The sequence below is a fragment of the Homo sapiens genome, chromosome 6, assembly GCF_000001405.40.
Source record: "Homo sapiens chromosome 6, GRCh38.p14 Primary Assembly".
NCBI classification, from domain to species: Eukaryota; Metazoa; Chordata; class Mammalia; order Primates; family Hominidae; genus Homo; species Homo sapiens.
Window position 1 is genome coordinate 79,410,734 of NC_000006.12, and position 24,822 is coordinate 79,435,555.

Consider the following 24,822-nt stretch of genomic DNA (forward strand, 5'->3'; position numbering starts at 1 on the left):
GCTCTTATCATTGGGCCTGACACATGGAAGGACTCACTAACTGTTGTCTATTGTTGTCATTAGGTTCCGTATACTGACCCGGGGGTTTGGGCAGCCCCCTAAACATGGAAGATCCCAGGAAAAATGATTTCAGTGGGTGGCATTTAAGATCCTAAGGGAGGCTGGCATGTCAGTCAATTCAAATGACCCTCCCCTTAGGTGGTGATCTGCACTGCTTAGAGCTGGTCCTGAGTTGTCCCCTCATCTCAGTGAAAAACTGCTGAGTGAATACATCTAATTAGTCACATCTGGAAGAGCTGAAATTGCTTGTTGTTCAGCAACATAAAGGCCCTGTTGTTCTTTCCTGACTAGGATTTTGGTCAGGGTCATTCCAATCTACCCCAACAAGTTTTCCTAAATTTGAATCTCTGGGAGCAAGTGTTGGGTCTCGATTTTTTTCTTTTCAGAAAGCATTAGGCTTTTGTAAATGGGTTCACAAGAGTCTACAAAATCAAGCCTCATGGAGTCCCAAAGTTTCTGTCTTATGTTCCCCCAGAAATAGTGTTTATTGTTGTCATTTACATAACAGAAGGGGCCTCACTTTACTGACTTTTCCCAGAAAAAAGATCTCCTCTAAGATGACTTTCTGCCAGTGCCTAAATGGAAAAGGAGTTTCTCTCCCTTAAAATAAATAAATAAAATATGTCCCAATCTACAAAACCACTAATAACCAGGGAATCTCAGCCTTGTAAACTTTGATGTTGTGCCTCACATGGGTTTCGTTCTAGTAGGTGACTGGTTCTGTCATTTACTAGCTTTGGGAATGGAGCAAGTTATATTACCTGTGGACTAAGCTCTTCTCTCCAGTGAAGCACAGGCAATACTGAATCATCCATGGAGGAAACTAGCTTAAGGCCAAAGGGGCAATAATTAGGATTCTGAAATAAAGAATGAAAAACAAAACAAGATAAGCCTTGGGCAGGAGCAGAGCAGGATCTGGCCTCTAGGCTGACTGCACACAGGATGCTGACAGGACCCTCTCACATCTCTGTTCCTCTCTGAGTGTTGTTTTTATGTATGCAGATATCTTTATCAGGTGGGGACATGGCATGCGGACGCTTGAAGATAACATATTCACAGAACCTCATCAGAGATGTAAGAAAAACTCTTTCCTGTCGATTCAATCAGAAAATCTCTAGGAGAGGACACTGAGGGACCTAGTCGCACATGTGTTTCCCTGGACCAGTCACAGGGACCAGGTTAAAAGGTCAGTCTCACTGGGTCATCTGGAGTCACACGACCTTCCTTATGGCCAGAGAGCAGGAACCCATAGTGACCGGTCCTTACCTTAACCAGGAGGCTGGAATCCAGATGATGCCGTTCCCTGAAGAAAGGGGAAGGCTACTGCCACAGATGGAGTGACATGGTTATTAGCTGTTAACAGACCTCTTAATCCTCACGAGGTTTTTGTGAGAATTCAACTAACAGATATTCAGTGAAGAAATATTTTTTTTAATCAGAATTAGGCTCTAATCTCAAAACGTTAGGCAAAAAAACCCTCTTACTTAGAGGCCAGGCTACAGAACACAACAAGTTTTAATTCCAGCATTATAATAAGTTACCAATTCTGCAGTAGAGAATATGAGGGAAATTTGGCTGATGTTTAAGGGTCATGTTATATGAAAAAATACTTCTCTTTAAACACCCACGTCACTGTGTACACAGAGAGATGCTCACAATATGAGAAGTAATTAGGAACTGAGATTAGCCAAGGGAGAGTGGACTCCTCCACATTTTACTAAACCTATTCCAGGTATAAACTCCACAGTAGTGTTTACTCATTATTAAAACAATAGGTGAATTATTGGAATTGTTAAATGAATATATACGTACATATATACATGTCTGTATATATATACATATGAAATGGGAGAGTTCCCTGACCTCCTTCACGGGACGTGCAACAGGGATGTGGCTTTTCTGTTCGGCCACCACCGTGCATGCTCAAACCCCTTACAGGAGGGGGAGCACTCAGATGGGCAGGTGCAGGAGCCGGGGCAAGTGCTTTTTGGCTCCGGTTCCACGGTAGCATCTAGGGATGGGTGCCTGCAACTCCCGAAGCCCCAGTGGGCATGTTACAGTGCTCCTTTAGCTCTGCCATCCACAGAGGACTTAAGTGATAACCAGTTCAGTACCCACTTGGTATCCGGGTTCTTGTCCAGTGTCCAGGAAGAACAAGGTCCCACATGGACTTGAAGGATGGTGAATGTGGGGGTTTTATTGAGTGATGGAGGCGGCTCAATGGGATGGATGGGATGCTAAATAGGGGATGGGGTGGGAAGATGATTTTCCCCAGAAATTTGGCTGTCCTGTGGCTGATCTGCCCTCCAACCATCCCCAGCTGAACTCTTCTAGACGTTCAGATGCTCCTTCTCTTCTCTCCTTCTCCCTACTCTTTTGTTCTGTTTGTCCTCTCATGGAGCCTGCAGTTTGGAGTTTATATGGGTATAGAATAGAGGTGTGTGGTGGGAAAAAAGGCAAAATTTGGGCAAGGAAACAGGAATACCTGTTCTTATTCAGGGCTGCGGGTTTCCAGACTCGAGAATGGGGCCTTTGCCGGGAAACTACCCACCTCTACTCAGCACTTCTCTGCCTCCTGCCCATATCATATATACACATAATCTAAAAGAAAAAGATAAATATATATGCACTTATACACTTTCTCTTTATTCCCTCCCTGAGCTGGGATATTTGAATACAAGTACACAATAGTACACAATAATACACAATAACATATTACTATTTGAGAAATCACCAAACATGGTGTCTGAAACTTATCAGGAACACCCTAAATGTTAGTTGAATCAGAACCTGAATCTCTCTCCCTCCTAAAGGATGACTTTCACTCACACAGCTATCCTTTCTGCTCCTTGCAGTTTTTTCTGGGAACGGTGGGGCTGCTTCAAAGATTATCAAAGGAGATTTCGAAATTCTGAGTGTCAGAAAAAATAGGAGAAGGATTTTTTAACATGTTTCTACTCATGATTTGGCAGCTTCCCAAAACCACTCTGAATCTGTTCTTATTTCCTTGCAACTGAAGCTTTTCTCAAGTTAAATTTTCAGTTATTACTAGTGGCATTTCCCACATCTCATGCACATATATATTACCCATTTGAATGAAAATAAAGGCACTCCCAACATTCCATTCTATGGGAGGGAAAGCACTCAAATGTGTTGAGTGGAAAAACATGCATTTCCTGTTTGTATTCAGTTAAAACTCAAACAACTTCAGAACAGTATGTATTATAACATAATCATTGCCTGCCTAGAAATGCCTCTATGAACATATCACCTACTTCTAATTCTTTTATTCGGTCTAGAGTATTTGAAGAGAAGTTAAAACTGATATGTACAGGAAAATATTATACATTTAATACAGGAAAGAATCTTGTTGTTAACAATTAGTAGACTCTGTTCTACAAATTTTGCTAGAAAAATGTGGACCCTAACTTGCCCATAAAAGAATCTTTACTAGCTATGATTTTCCAGAGGCATTTATTAATCATTATCTTCATGTGCTTTTATATGTTTGGGTTGTCAGTCTCAGCACTTTCAGAAGAGCTTGGGGATTTAATGAAATAAATGGATTTTTTTGGTCATTTCATGGGGGTTGAAATTCAATTGCCGTATAATGAGCATGGTGTATTCCACTTAATTACTTTTCCAGACTCTTCTGTCTTATACCTGAATCAAGGTTTTTCAAAATTATAATTAAAACATTGAGCGTACGTGACAAGGGAAAAATAGTATTGAGACATGTTTGACTTTGCCTAAAATTACAGAAAAGAACATTAATACTTTAAAAGTATATCTCAGGAACTGTGCTGGGACCTTGACACTGGATTTAGCATCTAAGTTATAAAGGGCCTTGTCAGGAGCCTTCAAGGTGATAGTTGGGATGGGAGCTGGAAAGCTGTGGGTTAAGAATGAATAGGAAATGAGCAAGAGAACATCCTAAATGTAATCCTGTTTCACAAAGCTTGACTTTTTAAAGGGAATGTGCTATGTGGTCTGTAATTTACTTTAAAACACTTCAACAAACAATTTATGTGTAAATACTTATTCTATTTCATTTTAATCCAGACCCTAGGGCAGGTAGTTATTCGAATTGAAAATATATACTCCAGCAATGGTTTTTGGTAGCATTTCATCAAAACGCTAAATTTCAGAGGCAGCTATAGTTGCCTTGGTTTTTATCTCGAACACAAGAGGTTTTGATAATTAGTGAAAAGAATGTGAGAAGTAGGTTTTCATTTGTGAAATTCCAGGTATTGAAGTTATGTGGATGGGTTAGAAATGCTTTAGAGGTGTTCTCACTGTTTCATGAACAAGGTAAAAGAATATGGTGATGCTCCCTAGGCTTGATTTCTGTGCAGCCATGTGTCCAGGATATTGAAAGGAATAAGGTTCCAGAGGAGGAAGGAGGCTGGAAGAGATGGGATACTTCATGGAGGTGGTAGAACAGGTCCTGGACAACAGGAGGGTGCCTTGGGACTGGACATAAACTCTATCATTTGCCTGAAGCCTTTTAGGTCATAACATTGTTGACATTGGAGCCAAGTTTTACTAATTAATAGCTCCAGGCATGTGTGGTTTACTCCACCATGGTCTTCTCATCCTCTCTCCCCATCCTAGGGAAAAGCTTTTCTTTCTTCCAGGTGTTACAACCTTTTCTCTGAAGCAGACCAAGAGAGACTCTTTTTTTTTTTAGACAGAGTTTCACTCTTGTCGCCCACGCTAGAGTGCAATGGCACAATCTCGGCTCGCTGCAACCTCCGCCTCCCAGGCTCGAGTGATTCTCCTGCCTCAGCCTCCCGAGTAGCTGGGATTACAGGCATGCGCCACTGCACCTGGCTATTCTTGAACTTTTAGTAGAGACACGGTTTCACCATGTTGGCCAGGCTGGTCTCGAACTCCTGACCTCATGTGATCCACCTGCCTAGGCCACCCAAAGTGATGGGATTACAGGGGTGAGCCACCGCGCCCGGTCAGAGAAACTCTTAAGACTATTAATGGAATTTATCCTTCTGGTGAGTAATTAAAACTTATCTAGGGTAGGGCTTAGAAAATATCTGTTTATAGTTGTTGTTAATTAATATGTATAACCATGCATAGCATATATTTTGATTAGCATATAAATGCTTTCAGAGTGGTATCTATTGGGTAAATGTGAACCTTTACATTAGCAGACTTTTTCTTTTTTAAAATAACAATATAACAAATTTAAGGAGTGAAAGAGGATGGCAATTAACAAAAAACCAAGATCAGCTACAAGGTTAATGCTAAGATAGACCTGTCAGTAAGGTCAATGAGCTAAGATAGATTGTGATAAAATCAACAGTGTGCAATGACATTTTACTGAACACTTAACACTAAAATTTTGCTTAATTCTTTTACCTACTATATTAACCATAAACTGACTTTTTCTAAACATGCTTTAATCAAAGGTGGTTGAAAGAACTATAACCTAAGGTGAATAAATGGTTTAATTTTTTTCCATCTCTACAAATGTTTGAAGATATTCTAAAGGCCAATATTTTGTTACATTAAGCAATACTGCTGAAGAAAATTTCTATTTGAAGTCTAAACAGTAAAATGCCATTGTCATAGCATAAAATAAACTACATAACAATGGATGCTTCTTTACTCAGGAAGATTAAGTCCATATTTTTCAAGGAAAGTCAAGAAATGTAGTTCCCTACAGTTTGATAACATAACTGGTTATTAGTATCCTCCCCAGTCTAATCATACTGAACGGTATATATCAGAAGCAAAACAAAAGATGCTGAAAGCTTAAGGGCAGGAGTAAGGGTAGAGGAAAGGAAGTCAGTAAAATGATCTCCATGAATGCTCTTATTTCGGTCCAAGGAGTCTTTTCAGTGTTTAAGAGAAAGGCTGAGCCAGTGCCTAAGAGGCCAAGAGCTCCTCATTTAGGAAACTATAGAACAAAGGGAATCTGGAAAATTCTTACCTGGAGTAAAACCAGAATGTAAAGTTTCCTTTTATGTACCATTCCACATGGCACTAAATTCATGGGCATTGAATATTTTTTTAAAAAGTTATTAGGCATAGAAAACAAATATTGAATAAATTACAGTTGGAAAAGGGAATATGCTATACAAGCAGCATTTTAGGATTTAGACATTACGTACAGAGTGAGGGATTCTAAGTGTATCATAATTTTATCAATTCAGAACCAAATATCAGGTCAAAAGACATGTTTTGGAAACTCTATAACCAGATCACAGGAATAAGGAAGTTGTAACATTTGTTCTAGTTACATATACAACAGTTAAATTCGTTCTCTCTTCACCATTCTCTAATGTCATAGGAGCTTTTAGCTTTGAAAAATGCATTGGCTTGGGGCCAGAAATGGCATGGAACGGTGCTGCTCAAAGTGTGACACATGGATCCATATCAGCCTGCTAACTGTTACTAGGTTGTCAATGAAATAAAAGCAGAAATTAAAAGTTAGATTTACAAACTGTTACAGCAATTTGACATAGTAATTTTATACTGGCTAAATCTAATAATAAATAAATGGGCTTCTATTTATATTTGTTTATATTTTCATTTCACCTTTCTAGCAATTTATATTATATTTCACAGAACTATTCTCTTTCGGATGGGAAAAAACCCTGGTTCTTCACCTTAGATAGTTTGAGAAGCATTGATGTAGACCATAACTGAGTGATAATTATTTTAAGACCAGATTTTTTGTTTTTTGGGTTTTGTTTTGTTTTTTTGAGGCACATTCTTGCTCTGTCACCCAGGCTGGAGTGCAGTGGCAAAGTCTTGTCTCACTGCAACATCCCCCTTCCGGGTTCAAGCAATTCTCATGCCTCAGCTTCCTGAGTAGCTGGGATTACAGGCATGCCACCATGCCTAGCTAATTTTTGTATTTTTAGTAGAGATGAGGTTTTGCCATGTTGGCCAGTCTGGCCTTGAACTCCTGGCCTCAAGTGATCCACCTGCCTCGGCCTCCCAAAGTGCTGGGATTATAGGCGTGAGCCCCCATGCCAAGCCAAGACTAGGTTTCGAAGTCCAAGGTCCATACCTCTGTTAAGATATTTTGGATTAAAGAAAAGCTGTGATGACATCTGAGATTCTTTGAACTCCTTTTTCATAGAATACTCATGAATACTTGAGCCCTCCATGAAAAGGAGGGGTCTTATAGAAAAAGTTTTATGAGCTGTTGATTGACTAATTCTACATTTCAGAGTCAAAAATCTATGTCTACTTTGGGTGACTTGTTTCTGCTAAATTTCCTTGAGTCCCTTCTGTCTTCTGATTTCTATTCTATAAAATCATAGCAGTGTCTGATTCCGGGAATGACATGTGGTTTTCATTTTTTCAAAAACAACATTCAGCTTTCCATTACTTGTAATCATTGAAGAGCATAATGCACAGATAGCTAGATGGCAGAAATTTCCAAACTCACTTGTAATTAGCTCTGTAAAACATTTATATACCTTTAAAAAATCGTTCTTCCGAGCTGACATATGTAAAGTTAAAGTTAGCTGGCATTTCTGAGCAGAGCCCAGTAGAAAGCAGTGTGAAGAGCCCAGGCTGAGAAGATTTTTTTCAGTCTGGTTTTTTATTTCATTGATCTCCAAAGTGGGTTATCTATGGGCTGGTAGTTGAGAGTTGCCTGTACATACAGAACTATCTCTTAACTGACTTTAAAACAAAACAAGGAATGTGGCTTCCGTCAAGTTAATGAGGGAGGTACCAACCTTCAGTGAGCCCCTTTAATCAGAGCACAGAATAATAAATGATGATGGGATAATTAGAAAACAATTTAGAAAGCAATGTTATATCTCTACTTATATCAATTGTTGGTAAATTAATTAAACTGTAAGTGGGTGGCAAGGGTTTTTTTAAGCAAACCCCTAATGTAGAAACTTTAAGGAAAAATAATGATAGGACTTTCTCAAAACAATCAACAAAAACTGTGCTCTCAGTTATAATTGAAAACAAGTGAAATAGTGTGGATATTTGTCTCCTCCAAATCTAATGTTGAAATTTGATCCCCAATGTTGGATGTGAGGCCTAGTGGGAAGTGTTTGGGTCGTGGGGCAGATACCTCATGAATGGTTTGATGCCATCCTAGTGGTAGTGAGTGAGTTCTCACTCGATCAGTTCACACAAGAATTGATTGTTTAAAAGAGCCTGGGACCTTTCTCTCCCCCAGCTCTTCCTTTCACTTGCCATGTGATGCCTGCTCCTGTCTGTCTTTCACCATGAGTAGAAGTTCCTTGAGGCCCTCACCAGAAGCGGATGCTGGTGCCCTGCTTCTTGTACAGCCTCCAGAACCATGAGCCAAATAAACCTCTTTTTGTTATAAATTACCCAGCCTCCCAAATTCCTTTATAGCAATACCAACAGACTAAGAAAATCAGAAAAAATTTAAAAAGCATATCTGTGACATGAATGACTTAAAAAAAAAGAGAGAGATAGACCTTTATAAGATACAATTGGAAGTACAAAAGCTATAAAGGAAAGTCTAGATATTGTTTACTCCATAAAAGCATTTTAAAGTCTGTATGGAAAGCAGTGCTTTATAAATAAAGACAAAAGACAAGCAATATGCAGAAGAAAATGTTTGTAACATATAAGACAGATTAAAAATGATCATAGCAAAAACATAAGACATTATGCATCAGATGCTTATAACATATATGACAGATTAAAAATGATAACAGCAAAACATAAGACATTAGACATTATACATCAGGTGCTGTTCAAGACATTTTACATATTAACGCATTTAATCCTCACAAAGATGAATATTACCTAATGAAATAGGTACTATTATTACCCTATTTTGCAGATAAGAAAACTGAGACACAGAAAGGTCTCAGGAAGAAAAAAGACAAGGTGGAATTCGGATCCAGGCAGTATGGATTTAGGGTCTGTTCTCTCAATTACCATATCATAATGTGTCTCTTAAAAAACTTTAAAATGTGAATGCTGTATGCAATGTTAACAATGATGTCGATGATAGCACAGAAGGCAGCTACTCTCACCTACTGCAGGTAAGAATGTAAATTGAACAATTTCTCAGGGTCAATTAGACACGACTTAATGAAAAGCCAGAGAATTCTGTATGAATATTTGACCCAGCAATTCCACTTGTTTTTTATGGTATCAATTTAAAATGGATCTTTATGCATTGACACATGAATTTTATATACCTTTAAAAAATTACACGAAGTTGGTGGCAATCAGAATGTGGGTGCCGGATTCATTTTTGCTTATTTACAGCACTGCCAGCATGTACTAAAGTATTCAAAATATGACCAAATTTAAGCAACCTCAGATAATGGTTGCTGTTTCTCCCCTCCCTAACAAACCATTTTCTGTTCTTGGGTACACAATTGGACTACATATCCCAGCCTTCTTGCAGTTAGATCACATGACTGAGTTCTAGTAATGAATACAATTTCTGGGACAGAGCTTTAAAGAAGGAGGTGTTCCACCTCCAAGCTCTCATTTTTCTTTCACTGACTGGAGGCAGATGATGAATTTGAAGCCCTGACAAAGAGAAGGCAAAATCAGTTTGTGTCCCTGAGTTGCTAAGTGGAGAAGAAACGTCCACCAACCAGGAAACACCTGCCTCCAACTGTTAAGTGAGCAAGAAATAAACTTCTGTTGTGTTTGAGCTATTACACATTTTCTGATCTATTTGTCTACAGGTTAATTTATGTTTAAATATGTTTTAAACTGCCACTGAACTGACTTAGTCACATATTTAAACTTTGCAGTAGGTCTGTGAAATGTGCTTTGTTTCTGGTCAGCATGGACACCCGCTTTAATAGTGGCTTCAGATGAGGCACCTTGTGACAGAGGAGCTCTTCCCCTGGTAAGCCATTTCTCTTGATATGTCTTCAGCTCCTTGGTAACAGCTTGTGATGATGATCTTGCAGACTTCTCCAGCTTTTCTGCTGATACTCAGATTCTTCTTCTCAGCAGGCTGGTTCTTGTTTAGCTAGCTAATGATTTTATTGAACCTTTAAGAATCTTGTGTTTGCCCTCCGTCATTGTTTTGGCCTTAAATTTTCTTATTTTCCACCTTGTCCTTAGTGAAGACTGTAGATTTAAGTGAGTTCTTAGGAGATACCAACTACATTTCTCTGCTTCTCCTTTTTTTGTGGGTGTGGAACTTCTCAGCCTTTTGGACTACGTAATTAAGAGCTTCATTAATCAATATATTCTTCCACATTGTGAATTAATACTCTTCTGTTTGGCCTCTTTGTTCACAGCAGCAACCTTGAAGATGTTGTGGAAGACAATAGCCATTCTTACTTCACTCTGAGGATCACGATGGCGTGCAAGGGTGTGCCAAGCACATTGCTATCTTTGGCCATTCTCTCTCACATTAGTACACCTGGATGTGAATGGCACGTTATCTATGTAAGCAGTGATGGTCTCTATCTGGTGGTAGAAATGACAGAATTACACACAATCAGGACAGCTGAGATTCCATTTACTAGCTCAGTAATCAGAGAATATGTATGACATCCCAGCAAAAAATGTTGAACATGTTCAGATTTCATCATATCAGCACCACAGTATCAGTCTTACTGGGAGGTGCTCGCATTCAGTTCCTGGCTACTGAAGAAATTTTGCAGGAGTTCCAGATAACTTACTTGTCCCATAATAATGAAAACTATTACAATTATGCTAAAGAAGAATACTTAATAACACAGTAAAAATGTTTATGATGTCTTTTAATTTCTAAAGCATGTTATAAAAGTATTACAGTATGATCTCATATTTGTAAGTAAAATATATATTAATTCATTTAGCAAATAAATATTAAGCCCCTACTATGCACATACCAATATAGATATTGGTATTTGTGTGGGTGTGTGTTACAGCAGATTTTAATTTTCTTATTTTGTATTTTCTGATTTATCTACAATGAATTTGTATTAATTTGCTAACAAAACATCACTATTAAAATAAATTTTTTTTGAATTATAAGAAAAGGCTAACATCATAACAATAAGGTTGTATAGAATAAACTGACAACACAGAAGTTATTTTGGCCCTGTGTTCCACAGTGACTCACCAAATATACCCTGCACTGTTTATTTTATTTTTTTCTATTTCACTATTGAAATGAACAGATGCATTTCACGTCACATGGATCTCGTGGAAACATGCCAAACATTTTCTTAGCAACCAAACTCCTGTCTTCTGCACTGTGCATGATTAACTAAAACAGCCTGTTGACGGCTTAAAATAAACCTGCCTTTTCCATTTAGCATTTTATCAAATGAATATAATTTCATTTGCTGATGAATTTAGTTCAGCTTCAAGAGAATTTTTCTTTTCTTCATGGGGAGGCTGAAGAATCAGAACTGTCATACCAAAGAATGAAAAGCAAGCCTAGGGAGAACAAGACAGTCTGATGTTTACATGGGTAAAGTAAAAGTATCTTTGTCAATATTACCAGCACTCTCCCTCACCCTCTGTTTTATAGGGTGGAATGTTGATTTTAGTTCTGCTTTTGCATTATGGTGTTTACGTTGCTTGATTACAAGCATTAATTTAAATGACTGCTGTGGGGATTACTATTGTTATTATACGTGAGCTCTTGTCTTACTTTTGTTTATTTCTAGCACTTGAGTATGCCCTAAAATTTAATTAGATTCATCTCTTAGGATAGTAGACCCTTTGCTGGGGTTCAAAAGTAAAGGGACAAATGGTATAATCCGTCAAGGGAGGAGGGAGGTATATTATCAGCAATGAGGAGAGTCAATGTTTTCTTAGAGGATGTGACTCTGCAACTTGGAATGAATTGATATTCTGTTTGATGAATATAAAATATATCTCTGTGTCTATATGTACATGTAGACACTTTGCATCCAAAGACTATAGGGATATTTGCTAAATAAGGAAGATTTAAAGTTTCTTTAAAGACAGCTTAAAAACAAAGTCATCTATGCAGTTAAACCAGCATGTATCTACAGAATCAATGAGAGGAAGAGGGTTGGACTGAATATTATATAGTCCATGCGATTTCCCCACTATCTTTTACTTGTGTCCTCATTTGGAAATAGTGAAAAACAGCACTAATGGCAAATTGCAACACTATTTAAATTTCCACCTTATTTCCCCCAGAGCAAATTCTTAAATGTTAATCATCATCAGGCAGTCAAGTAGACACTTTAGCTGCACATAGTTTTATATTTTTCCTGGGGAATAAAGGCACAACAAATATAAAACATATTCCTGATAAATCCACTCTTTCTGATTGCTGCTCTGTTTACATTTTGAGAAATAATCTTGATGTATTGCCTTTAACATTAGACATAATCAATATAAGATTGATAGACATTTTACATTAAACATTGTAAAAATAGCTGCTCCCACATTTAATATTCTTCTGCTACAAGTCTGAATTCTTCATTACTTAAGCGAGGTTATGATGCTATTCAGCTACTTTGGAAAATGTCACTATCTTCTTCAGGTTTGTTTTTGAAAGTGTATTAACATTTTCAAAACCTGATTTCTAAGTTGAGAAAAATCCAACTGAAAGATGTCACAATGACTATTTGAGACTAATCCTACTGACGGCATTACTTCCTTTATGGAGGTAAGACTTGATAACTAGCATTCTCTCCCACTAGCCTACAGAGAAGATTCCCTAAAACAATACTGGGAGCTTCTTGCAGGTGCTTAGAGTTTTATTAATTACACTCAGCTGGGCCGAGGGAAACTAGAGATGAAATCTAGGAAATATTCCAGAGTCTGGCATGTGAGCAATCATAAGCAGTTCATGGAAACCTCAGAGTGTCTCAGCTTTCCTGCTTTATATTCATTAATTTCCTTTTCTCATATTAATAAAGGTCAATGCTGTTAGTGCCTATCTTATCCATAGAAAGGAGCTTGATCTTGAACTAATTCCATTATATTCTATTTTTTAATAGAAAACTAAAATCTTACATTTGGGGATGGCTTTGTTGTCAGTATGCTTGGTACAGCTTTGTCTTTTTCTAGTGAATAGCCCTTTACTTTATTCCAAAAGATCGTATGCTTCTTAGAAGCATTTTTATTCTTTAGTTAAAATTACATTTTACTTTTAAAACTCAATTTAAAAATCAGCAGTTATTTATTGATGGCATGATATTAGTTGCTATACTAAATCCTATAGATGAATTAATTCTCACACTGACACTAGGAAGTAGAATCAGGTCTTTCTGATGCTCTATAATAAAGTGAAAAAGAACACACCACACCCACATTAAGAATAGATTAAATGTCTTAGTTAATTAGCCAAGGAAAAAGAAATCTCTCCAAGGCAGGACCAATATGGCCTGACTAACAAGGATTTCCCTGGTCTCTGCTCCCTGAGAAAGTCCACCAGGAAGGTCATATCCACAGATAGTAAAGACCATCAGTGTCTAAATGTCCCTGATAGTAGACCTACCTCCAGCTTTCCAGGCTTCCCAAATAATTACGTCTTCACAACCCAAATTATTTTCCAAATCCCGTGTTCTTATAATTACAGCAGATTTCAGAACATTATACCTTTGCAGTGGTGTTCCTTAAAAATGAGGTACATAAATTCCTTTAATTCTATAGTGAAATAAAAATATAGTTCATTTACAATTTAAGGACTGGGGCAACTAAAATCTGGCCATTTGAATAACTAATTTCTGGTAAAAAGAAGAGGAACTAAAGTATAGAGATTGGTTAATATAGTATTGGAAATTGTCAGGATAATTTGGGAATAGTTCTTTTTAGATCAATGGATGGATTCAATAAGAACATCTTTGACTTATGATTCTAAAATGTGGTACTATATTTTTGCAAATTTCATCTTGAGGAAATACTTTTCTGTAAGATTTTCTCCCTAAAGCTAGATTAGATCTCCAGTGGGAGTACCCGTACTCCCTGGAAGTCTGGAACAAAACAGGCAATAATTTCTCAGCTCTGCAATGGTATACAATGGTTGCCTAAACAAAAAAGGGCAAAGTTGTCTGGTACTTGCATAAATAGATAACTAGAAAGATATAGACATGGGTATGCATGGGTGTGTGTGTGTATATGTGTATGTGTGTGCATACAATTAAGAAGCCTATATGTATATGGATATAAGCTTATAGATATACATACATATAAGCTTCTTAGTTCCAAATATAGTAACATAAAGAATACTTAAGTTATTAGGAAAAGATACTCTTTCAATGCAGGCTCTAGGGTGCACTAATTCAGTTGTTACTATCCATATGTGGGGCTATATAAATTTAAATGTAAATTAATTAAATGTAAATTAATTTAAAATTCATCTTCAGAGCTGCACTAGCCACATTTCAAGTACTCCACATATGGCTAGTAGCTACCATATCAGATAGCACAGACGTAGAATCCTTCCATCATTGCGGGAAGTTCTATTGGACAGTGTTGGTCCAGAAGTTAAGGAAATATTTTTAAAATGCATTTAATAAGGGCTTGTTAGTCTTATCCTTTCAATAAAGTCTTCCCTGAACTAATTTCTGTTGTAGATTACTAAAATGGGCTATTTTATTATGCTGTTCACATAGTTATTCAACTTCTAATTAGAGGTTGATGAAGTTCTTTCATTTACAACAGTATCATTTGCACCACATTTTCCAACTGCATTAAGAAGTTACATGATCTCACAGAAAATAACAAAAGACAGAGAATTTACTCAACAGTCTAGAATATATAAATATAAATATATGTGAGGGGTGTGTGTGTGTGTGTGTGTGTATGTGTGTAAGTTTGTGTTGACTGAAAACCAAAGTTGAGAACGACGTGCTCCCACATTGTAAAGTGAAATGCTAAACATACTACTAGCTGATCTTTGCAACCTTTTCAAGAAGAGTCCAGTTAAGTCCAACAGGGACTTCTGGTCTGCATAAGGAAATCATTAGAGAAGATGTTTTGAAGAAATGTCTAAGAGCAAAGAATTACCAGTGGCTCTCAAAGATTCTGTTTGCAAGTGGCATACTGCTCATATTTCACTTGCCAAATCAAGTCATGTGACCAAACCTGCCATCAATGGGGTGGAGAAGTATACTCTTCTTACAGAGAGTAGCAGCAAATAATTAGGGACAATAGTATACCTGTCACAAGGCCCTTTTGCTAATGATAAACATCTCACTCTCTGTATTAGTTAGGGTTCTCGAGAGAAACAGGACCGGTAGGATATACATATATAAGGAGATTAATATGGGAACTGGCTCACATGATTATGAAAGCAAAGAAGTCCCATCATATGCTATCTGCAAGATGGAGAACTCCAAATTCAGACTGTAATTCAGGTTGGGTCCAAAGGCCTGAGAAACAATAGGAGCTGCTGGTATAAGTCCCAGAGTCAGAAGGCCAGGAACTCCAGTATTTCAGAGCAGAAGACAGGTGTCCCAGCTCATGGAGAGAGAGAGAGACAGACAGAGAGAGAGATAGAGAGAGAGAGGGAGAGAGAGAATTCGCTCTTCCTCTGCATTTTTGTGCTGTTTAGGTCTTCAACAGATTAGATGATGCTGACCACGTTGACGAGGGCAGCTCTTCTTTACCTCAGTCCACTGATTCAAATGCTATTCTCTTTCAGAAACACCCTCACAGACACACCCAGAAATGTTTTACCGGCTATCTGGGCATCCCTTAATGTGTCAGTCAAATTGACACGTAAAATTAACCATGACACTCTGTCTTCTATATATCTTGTTATGATATAGCTGGTTTCTAGACGGTATTTTTATATCTGCTTAGAAAAAGGACCCCTATTTTTAGAACAACTGAGGTATCTGGTTCTTCAACATTTTCAACAATAGACCACTGTGGTTTCTTGGAGTCTCTTATCATCCTTGACCTAGGCTCAGCTTCACTGGTTACCCTCCTACTGTACTCCAAATCTGTAGCATGCATAAAAAGCAGAGAACACTTTGTTCATTACTCTGCCTGTTTTAGTGCCAGAGATCCTGGCCTGTAGTCGGAAATCTGGTAGGGAACAATTTGGACAAATTGAATAGAAGGTGTTATTTATGGCCATGAGGACAGAACAAGAATACCTGCCGCTGGAAAGCTTTAGATTATGATCATGTTTTCTTTCTCATTAGCAGGGTATTTCAAAGGCGGGTGGTGGTCACTTTATTCATTATAAACAAATACCGCTGAGCCTTAACTTTTAGAAGAAGCTTGTATTAATCAACACAGCACCCAGAAATGACACCTGTGAGACAGCTGTTTTTATCTCCATTTTGCAAAAGAGCCAGCAAAACAAAGAGAGGTTAAGCAACTTGCCCAGAGCCTCACAACTCTTAAGTGCTAGAGATGGCATCAGAGCTTGAGTCTTCCTGATTCCAGATTTACACATGGATCTGGTGAGCATCTTCCTACTCATATCAACAAGTAGCATTTGTCAGGTGGTATACTGCATTCGCCAGGCCTCTTGCCAAAGGCATTATCAACATTGGTTGATTTGTCTTTAAAATCACACTGCAAAATAACTATTATTCTTACTATTCTATAGCTAGGAAATTGAAGCTTAGAGGGGTAAATATGCTGTGAAAGATTACACTGCTAACAAGTGCTGGAGCCAGAATTTTAAACCAAGTCTAACTCTAAAGCCACTGTTGCCACTGCTTACTAACCTCTACTGTTATAGCTTTAACGCTTAGCATCTGCATCCAAAACTAGGGGTGCCCTGAAGTGCAGAAAGGCAGTATACCTGAAGTCATACCAGAAAGGCAAGTAAGAAGAATACAATTACTTGAGTAAAAATGCATGGCATTGGATGATGGTGTAGGTTTATGGTGGAAAAGAGAATATTAAAATGAGAATTACAGAAGAAAATCACTTAATCTTGAAATAGAAATGGATTCCTGTCCCTGAAGCTCTTTTGCTAATTTTGCTTTCTCAGACCTAATTTTTGTCTTAAGCATGCTTATTTTGATTCTAATCCAGTTGAAGCAAGCTTATAATTAAAGTGGCATTTACTACATTGGACATTTTTCATACTGATTAGATAGGAGTGTCTAGGGCAGCGAAAGGCCCTTGGGATCTGGGCACATCCAATGTCTTGATCACACGGTAGAAACAGGCAACCAAAATACAGCCTTGGTGGGAGACAGTCTGAGTCAGAGGCATTGTTAGATGATAAGCCAAAGCAGAAGCCAGGGAGCTGAGTGCACCCAGAGATACTCATTGCTGGGAGGCTCTGTGTTCATCTTATTTTAATCAGTTGACCATTAAAAGAGAGAGAATGAAAAATCATTAGGATGACTGAGTCATATGACAATTGTGTGCAACTCAACCATACCTAATACTAAAACAAGAGGTATTCTGATGGAAGTTAGCACACAGATTGACATGAGTTGTCATTTCTGACACTTAGAACCAATCTTTTTCTAAAGAACTCCTACCTCTCAAAATGGTAGGATATGAAAATGAGGCCCTAGCTAGATCAACTCAGTGGAAGCTAGTATATGATTTCTTAACTATTTCAACTGGAAGTATGCACCAGGCTGTCACTGATGTCCAAATAACCCCTGCAATACTTAGACATCCTTCCACAGAAGATTATTCCTAATTCCTGTATTTCTAGAACGATGCCCAGAATTTAAAATAATAGCCCCATGCCTTGCTACTCGTAACTGAGAATGTAAATGTCCTTGGATAGCTGGAAAAATTGGAGAAAAAATGATAAAGGTTTTTCTTCATGACAATCAGTTCTACAGACATCTAGCTCTGCCAGAATGGAGGCAATCATTTATTATTGATTAAGCAGTGGAAGCCGTGGTTCTGGGTTTAAGGAAGACAGTTTTCTGGCCAAGAGGATCTAGAAAGTGCCCTTGGAACAACTGACTTTCCAGGATGTTAATATACTCTATGGCCACTGACAAAAATACGAAGGATTCTGGGCTTGATTTTAAAGGAAGAGTGAATGTTCACCCTCACTTCTTCGAATATTGAGTAGAAAATCAAAGGCTTTTCTCTAATCTTCATTCCTCTCTTTATTCCACTCTTGGAGCCTGGTTGTAAACCTTGGTATCCTGTGCTATGGTGAGTCTACAGATGGATTGGGTTGTTCAGAATCTTCCCTCCTGTAATACACTACTACTTTATATAAAGAATGACCCCAATCACAGGTTCTTATAGATCTTTAGAGGAGAATTTAAAACTATGGGGAAAACAGTAATTTTGTCCCACTACAAACAAATCAATCTGTGATTTGTGTATTGAGACTCCCTCAGAGAGATTTAGGCAATTAAGAATTGGAAACCCTTAATTAGAATGAAAAAGACTCAGTGATGGTAGATGGAGATGCTGATGAGTTCCAGAAGGGCTCTCTGTGTGTTGAGAGTTGGGTAGTCAATATGCAATGTAACATCTAGAGTAGTGTGGAACATTTCATTACCAAACACTGTAATCATGCTCAGGGCTCCCCTGGAGTGGCTCATCATGGGCCCTGACCTCAGGGTCCTATTTCTTCTGGTGTGGTTTGGGGTATATTTAGTGAGTAAATGACCATGCTTTCTCCCAGTGGAACTAAAGAGGGCAGGTTGGATACAACAGCTTCTAGAGCTGGCGCTGGACTTTGTCAGCAGTATGGCTTTTATGATCGTCGATCATAAGCAAAGAAAAACTGTTTCTATCCCTCTCTCTGCCAGGCATCCCTCCAGTGTCTAGGTTTCCCCTCTGCGGCTAAGTGGTATACATAACACCCCTTCTATGTGCCAGGCTATGTCACTGTAAGGCCCTTCTGATAATGATAAACAGCTCACTCTCTGTATTAGTTAGGGTTCTCCAGAGAAACAGGACTATTAGGATATACATACAAAGATATAAGGAGATTAATATGGGAATTGGCTGTAAGCAACTATAAGCAGTGACAGCCTGGTACATAGAAACAGCCTCCCCTTTTCTCTACACTTAAATCCTTCCTGTTCTTTAACAGGGAGCTTGGACTTCACTTCCTGCAGACAAATATCTACATATTACCCTCCAGTTTATTTTTTATTTTGTTTATTTAATTGTGACTTTCTTCATTGTACTGTAACTCCCAGGGTACTGAACATAATTCTAACAGGAAGACTTCAATTAAAATGGAGTAATGGTGAGGTACATCTGAGATACTTGCTATTTTGGAATCTAGGAAAGCAAATGTCGACGGGAAAACAGGAAAGTAGGATTCAACATCTAGACTTTTTAATGGTAAAGATTCCAAAGAAAAGGCTGTATTTAGGAAAATGAATGAATACTGTTTAATTATATGTAGAAATCTAAAAATAAGTGAATGAGTATATACATTGGAGAGAGTGACAGAATTAAAAGTAAGACATCTGCAAAGTGATAGAGGAAATAGAACAGATAATCTGGATATTACAGGCCAAAAGCAACATAAAACATCTAATAATGTTTTTGGTATAGTGGAAAAATCAACAATAATCTGAAATTTTCTGTTCTTTTGCAATATGAACAAATTTTATTTTATTGTTGGATATTCTCTCTGTCAGCTTTCTAAAATGATCTGGATATATTACTGACTTTTCTAACTTTATTTTCCCTGCTACTATTATTTTATGTATTACTCTGTGGGCATCTTATTTTCTTGCCTACAGGGAATAATTTAACCTAAATATTAACATTAGTCATTTGAGCATAGTATTTCACGGACATTTTTATCCCTCTGTTTTTTTAAGATCATCCATTACTTTTATTCTGTTTCCTGTGTTGACGTTTTTCATGCTGTTTGCAATAATTTTCAGTAGGAAAAAAGTTTAAATGCATACAGTGACACTTCCATGAAATGGAATTTTCAAAGACATTTGTTTCTTGAATCTGTTGCTATGATTTTAAAATAGGAATGTTATACCCAGGAAAATATGCAATGTGGGAGCAGGACATATTTTACCACTGTGGGTATGTTCAAATTTCTAAAAATATTTTTGTTTTCTTTCTCTTTTTAAAGTTTGACAAGAAAATATTTGTGCATTCAAAATTTTTTTCCTAGTTATTGAGTTGTTTTATCTCATTGTTCCTTGATGTCATCTCACCTAAGTATATGATTTCAGTGTGTTTTCTGGTTGGACTCCTGAGAGATGGCAACGTCAAGCAGGTTTATTTAGCTGTGTGATGAACAGAACTGCAGGAAGCAAGCAAAGGCTGTTAGCAGAAACCAGGAGGAGATCTTTAAAAGCATGATGAGCTGTGTTACACACACCAAGGGCACAAATAAATTCCACTTTGCACCATTCTCAGAGATATCGCTGGTAGGTGGTAGAGTGTTGAGGAGTCAGAGCGCTAGTCGAGGATCAATGCGGCAGCAGCAGCGTGGAGGTGAGAGAGCCGAGGATGCCGGGAGCCACCTGGTTCCCACGACTGATGGAGCAGGACCACCGCCCTCAGCCTCAAGCTGTTCCTGCAGCTTGGAAACTATCGGCTAAGCTGGCCCAGAGTATGAGAATTTTCTAAAAGCTGAAGGGAGACAGTCCCTTTAGTCCATGGGTATTCCAGTCATTAGATCCAAAGACAAGCTCAGCTTCTATTTCAAAAAAAAAATAGCAGATAGCTGCAGGGTTAGCTCTCCCCGCAATAGCTGTTCACACTGATTTGCTTCATAGATTGATTGCTTTTGCCATTTGCAACCCTCCTGAACAACAGGGGAAAAAAACCCAGTGGCTGGGCCAAACTCAGAAATGATGAACGAACGTGGAAGATACATTTGGTGTCACACTGACTTGCAATGGATAACAGCATTTAAAAGTAGTAACAGCTGGATTCAAGTTTTTAAAATTAGGGCTGTATTATTAATGGAGGAATTGGGACACTGGGAGTCTGAGAGGGAGATTTAAAAGCTTATTTTAAATGAATGGGCTTTCTGCTGTACCTTGGGATGGCAGCCACCAGGTGGACAAGACACACAGCTCTGGCCCCTTGTCAGACAACTTTTACTCAGCTGGATTCAGCGTTAGACCTTGGTATGCAACGAGGACACTCTAACAAGGAGTGGCACAAAACCTCTTTTGTATTTATTGTGGGGATTTTGTAAAGTATATTGGCCAATAAATCTCATACCGTCTTCTTCATGAAGACATCCAGGAGAAATTCCCCACACAGCTTACAGACAGGAAAAGCTATGTTCTCCAGAGAAATGATGCCGTTCCCCTTCATAAACACTAAATCTTGTGACTGCCAGAGTTTCCCTCCTGCCTTGGTCCTGGTGAAGCAAGCGACTGAGTTTAAGATTAGAATGGGACCTTCTGTATACACTGATATTCAATACTCTTATTCCTGGCTTCACTTTGCTTTCTTACCCTTATTTTTCTTTTTCTCCTATTATATGCATTTTTGCAATGAGGAGGAAGATAAACAGTCAGTACACATTTTTTAGTGATAAATAATCATTTAAAATTTTTCCCAAGTGGCAATATAGTTATAAAAGAAAATATCCTTAATTTTTAAGAAATGATGGATGGGAGTGAAATGATGTGCAACTGCGATTTGTTTTAAAACACCTCAACAACCAAAGGGGTAGATAAAGCAAGAAGGGAAACATTTTGAAAATTGAATATAGGTGGGTTTTTTAAACTATCCTTTTTAACTTCTGTGTATGTTTAGGAATTTTAATTAGAAAATGTTTTCCATTTGGATCAAATTTTTGATATAGTAGGAGGCCAAGTTTCTTGTCAACTTGACAGTTATTTCCATCAGAAAATGTTGACTAGTTTTTCACAAATTCTTCTGAAATTGGTTTAACTGTTTTGTTTTTCTCCCCCTGCCTTGTCATTTGAAGCTTCAAGTCATACAATCTAAGACAGAATGAAGGCAGCAAATCTAAACTCCAAGGCTACATAAAGTGTGCCATTCCACAGGTAGAAACACTCACATGTGCTTAGAAACGCTCTGCTTTCCTCCTTGATTACCCAAATTCTCATTCTGAGCTTCTATTTCTCCAGATCTAGACTCGGGAATTTAATATCTGAAGACTCATATAGGGCTGATCTACCCTAACTTGCAAAATTTCATGCATATTTCATACTTACACTCTTCATATGTCAGTGGTGCTATTGTTTGGCTACTTTCTCTATCTGTGTGGTTTCATCACCAGTCTATTCACCCCTATATAAAACTTAAGATTTGAGATAAGAACTGGAATTTAAATGACTTAGGAAAGAATGTATCTTGGTTAGAATATAAGAGTCTGAAAAGTCTGCTGTGGGTGCTAAGCTGGCTACTAAGGGAAATGCTAACAGAAATTTGTCATATGTCTTCAGAGTATTGTCTGGCAACTGATTAAAACAGAGGAAGAGTGAAACAACATCTGCTTCTCTCCACCTCACACTGATAAAATGGTTGAATAAATGCACTTTGCTTATGGCCATGAAGAACACAGGGGACTTCATCTTTCCAAGTGTTTTCATACAATGCTCAAGGCTAATTCTTTTGGTCCTGATGTTTTATTTCTTAGCACCTGCTGGATCAAGAAGCACCCACAAGGATCATTTCTCAAAAATGTCTGAAACTATATCTATTCTGACTATGAACCTTGATCACAATTCAAACCCTTAGGCTACTGTTCTGATTGTTTTCAGCATTACCCACTAACTTTTGCTTTCTATTTCCATATTCTGTATTCTGGGGGCACTTTTTATACAGAGTCTGAAAGTGCTATTCTTTTTTTTTTTTTTTTTTGAGACGGAGTCTCTCTCTGTTGCCAGGCTGCAGTGCAATGGCACGATTTCGGCTCACTGCAACCTCTGCCTCCGGTTCAAGCAACTCTCCTGACTCAGCCTCCCGAGTAGCTGGGACTACAGGCGTGCACCACCACACCCGGCTAATTTTTGTTTTTAGTACAGGCGGGGTTTCACCATGTTGGCCAGGATGGTCTTGATCTCTTGACCTCCTGATGCATCCGCCTCAGGCTCCCAAAGTGCTGGGATTACAGGTGTGAGCCACTGTGCCCAGCCCGAAAGTGCTATTCTTATTATGACCTACAGTGGTAATATTTCACTTAAAAATCAGTGCTATGCCCATTGCTGGTTAACAAGCTTTGGAGAAGTATTAGGTTGAACCATAGAAACTGCCACAACTGTTCAAATATTGAAAATTTTATATGCTTCAGCTCATAGTCTCCTTCACACACATTCTCTTTCATATTTTTTTATAATTTTATTTTTTGTATGACTTAATGGGCACATGCTGATTTCCTGTATGTCGTCAACACTCCTGAGCCATGAGGGTAAGATCAGAGCTGCAGGAGTCCAGACACGTACTTTGTCGCCTGCCAAGTGAAAGACAATGAATGGAGTTATCTAAATTTTTCAGTGAACTTTTTGGTGTCTATGTTGTCTAATTTTATTCCCTTACTTTGTGTTTAAGAAAGATCTAATACCCACAGAGAATACCAAGGCTATTAAAGTCTAAGCAGGTGACCTACCTCAAAGCTTAAGTTCCTGTTATCATAGGCCTCGTTTCTCAAATTTGTATAAATGTACATGTGATGGAAAACCAGAAGATGCTTGGTAAACATGGTCAGTTTTACTCAATGATGAATGGTTTCAGTCATTTTTTTGTATTAAAGGAAACATAAATATACTATGGAGTAAAATGCAAACACTACACGGTTTTTTAAGATAAATTCTGACACTTGAAAGGCATGTTCTGCATTTAGGGCTATTGCCAGCCCCAGAACCATGGGATGAAGTTTTACTCCTTCTGCTGGTAGAGGAAGTTTAGTGGAAGGTTTGAGAACCTGAGCCCTGAGTGTAGGAAATGCATAGAAGTAGCAAAGTCTGAACAACACTGAGAACTACACAGTAAAATTAGCACATAGGATTTATTATCCTTTGTTGAATGAGTATATGAGTATATGATGATGCTGCTGATGATGATGACAATGACCACGATGATTTAAAAAAAAAAAAAACTAATATTTTTGGAGTTCTTACAATGGGCCTAAGTTTTGGTGCACAAGTATTCCAGGGATTGGCAAACTACATCCTGTAGGCCAAATTCAGCCCGCTGCCTGTTTTTGTAAGTAAGATTTTATTGGAACATAGCCACACCAAGTCATTCAGGTATTATCCATGGCTGCTTCCACTCTATTTAATACAAGGGCATACTTGAGTAGTTGCAACAGAGACTACATAGTCTACAAAGCCTAAACTATTTAGTATCTGGTTCTTTACAGAAAAAAATTGCCAATTCCTGTATTAGTGCATTAATTCTCATAACAAGCTTATGAGAGAGATTCTAATATTAACTTCATTTTGCTGATGAGAAAACTAAGGCACAGAAAGGTTGTTTAACTTACTCAAAGTAAAAGAGCAAGTAAGTGGCAGGGCAGTATTTGAATCCATCAGTCTAGTTCTAGAGCCCACATATCTGAAACAACTCACTATAGAGATCCTTCTAGATAAGGGAAAACATATTCAAGGTCACTTTAAAAAGATAGGCCCTAAGTTGACAGCCTCCTAGTATATGCTGTTAATATATCCGTAATTAGAAAAGAAGGTTCCAAATTATGAGGATGGTGAGCAAGAAACTTGGAACATGGAAAAAATAGCACCTGTCTTAGCCAGTTTAGGCTGCTATAATAGGGCACCATAGATTGGTGGCTTATAAACAACAGATATCTATTTCTTATAGTCTGGAGGCTGGAAGTCCAAGGTCAGGGTATGAGATGGTTTGAAAGTTTGTCCCCTCCAAATCTATGCTGAACGGTGATTCCCAGTGTTGGAAGTGGGGCCTGGTGGGAGGTGATTGGATCATGGAGGCGAAGCCCTCAGGAATGGTTTAGCA

At 38.1% G+C, this 24,822-nt stretch overlaps 1 long non-coding RNA gene across 5 annotated transcripts in view; it reads left to right on the forward strand.

Annotated features, from left to right (window-relative positions):
• Positions 1-24,822, forward strand: part of LOC100506851 (uncharacterized) — an 84,650-nt gene that overhangs the window by 5,687 nt on the left and 54,141 nt on the right. For 3 of the 5 annotated variants that reach the window (XR_001744213.2, XR_001744214.2, XR_942711.4), the window contains exons 1-3: positions 9,531-9,671; positions 9,807-9,904; positions 10,305-11,470. This is a non-coding gene — a long non-coding RNA (uncharacterized LOC100506851). Of the gene's footprint in view, positions 1-8,872; positions 9,078-9,530; positions 9,672-9,806; positions 9,905-10,304; positions 11,471-24,822 lie in introns of those variants that run through there. The other 2 variants (XR_001744215.3, XR_942713.4) reach the window with 2 other exon arrangements.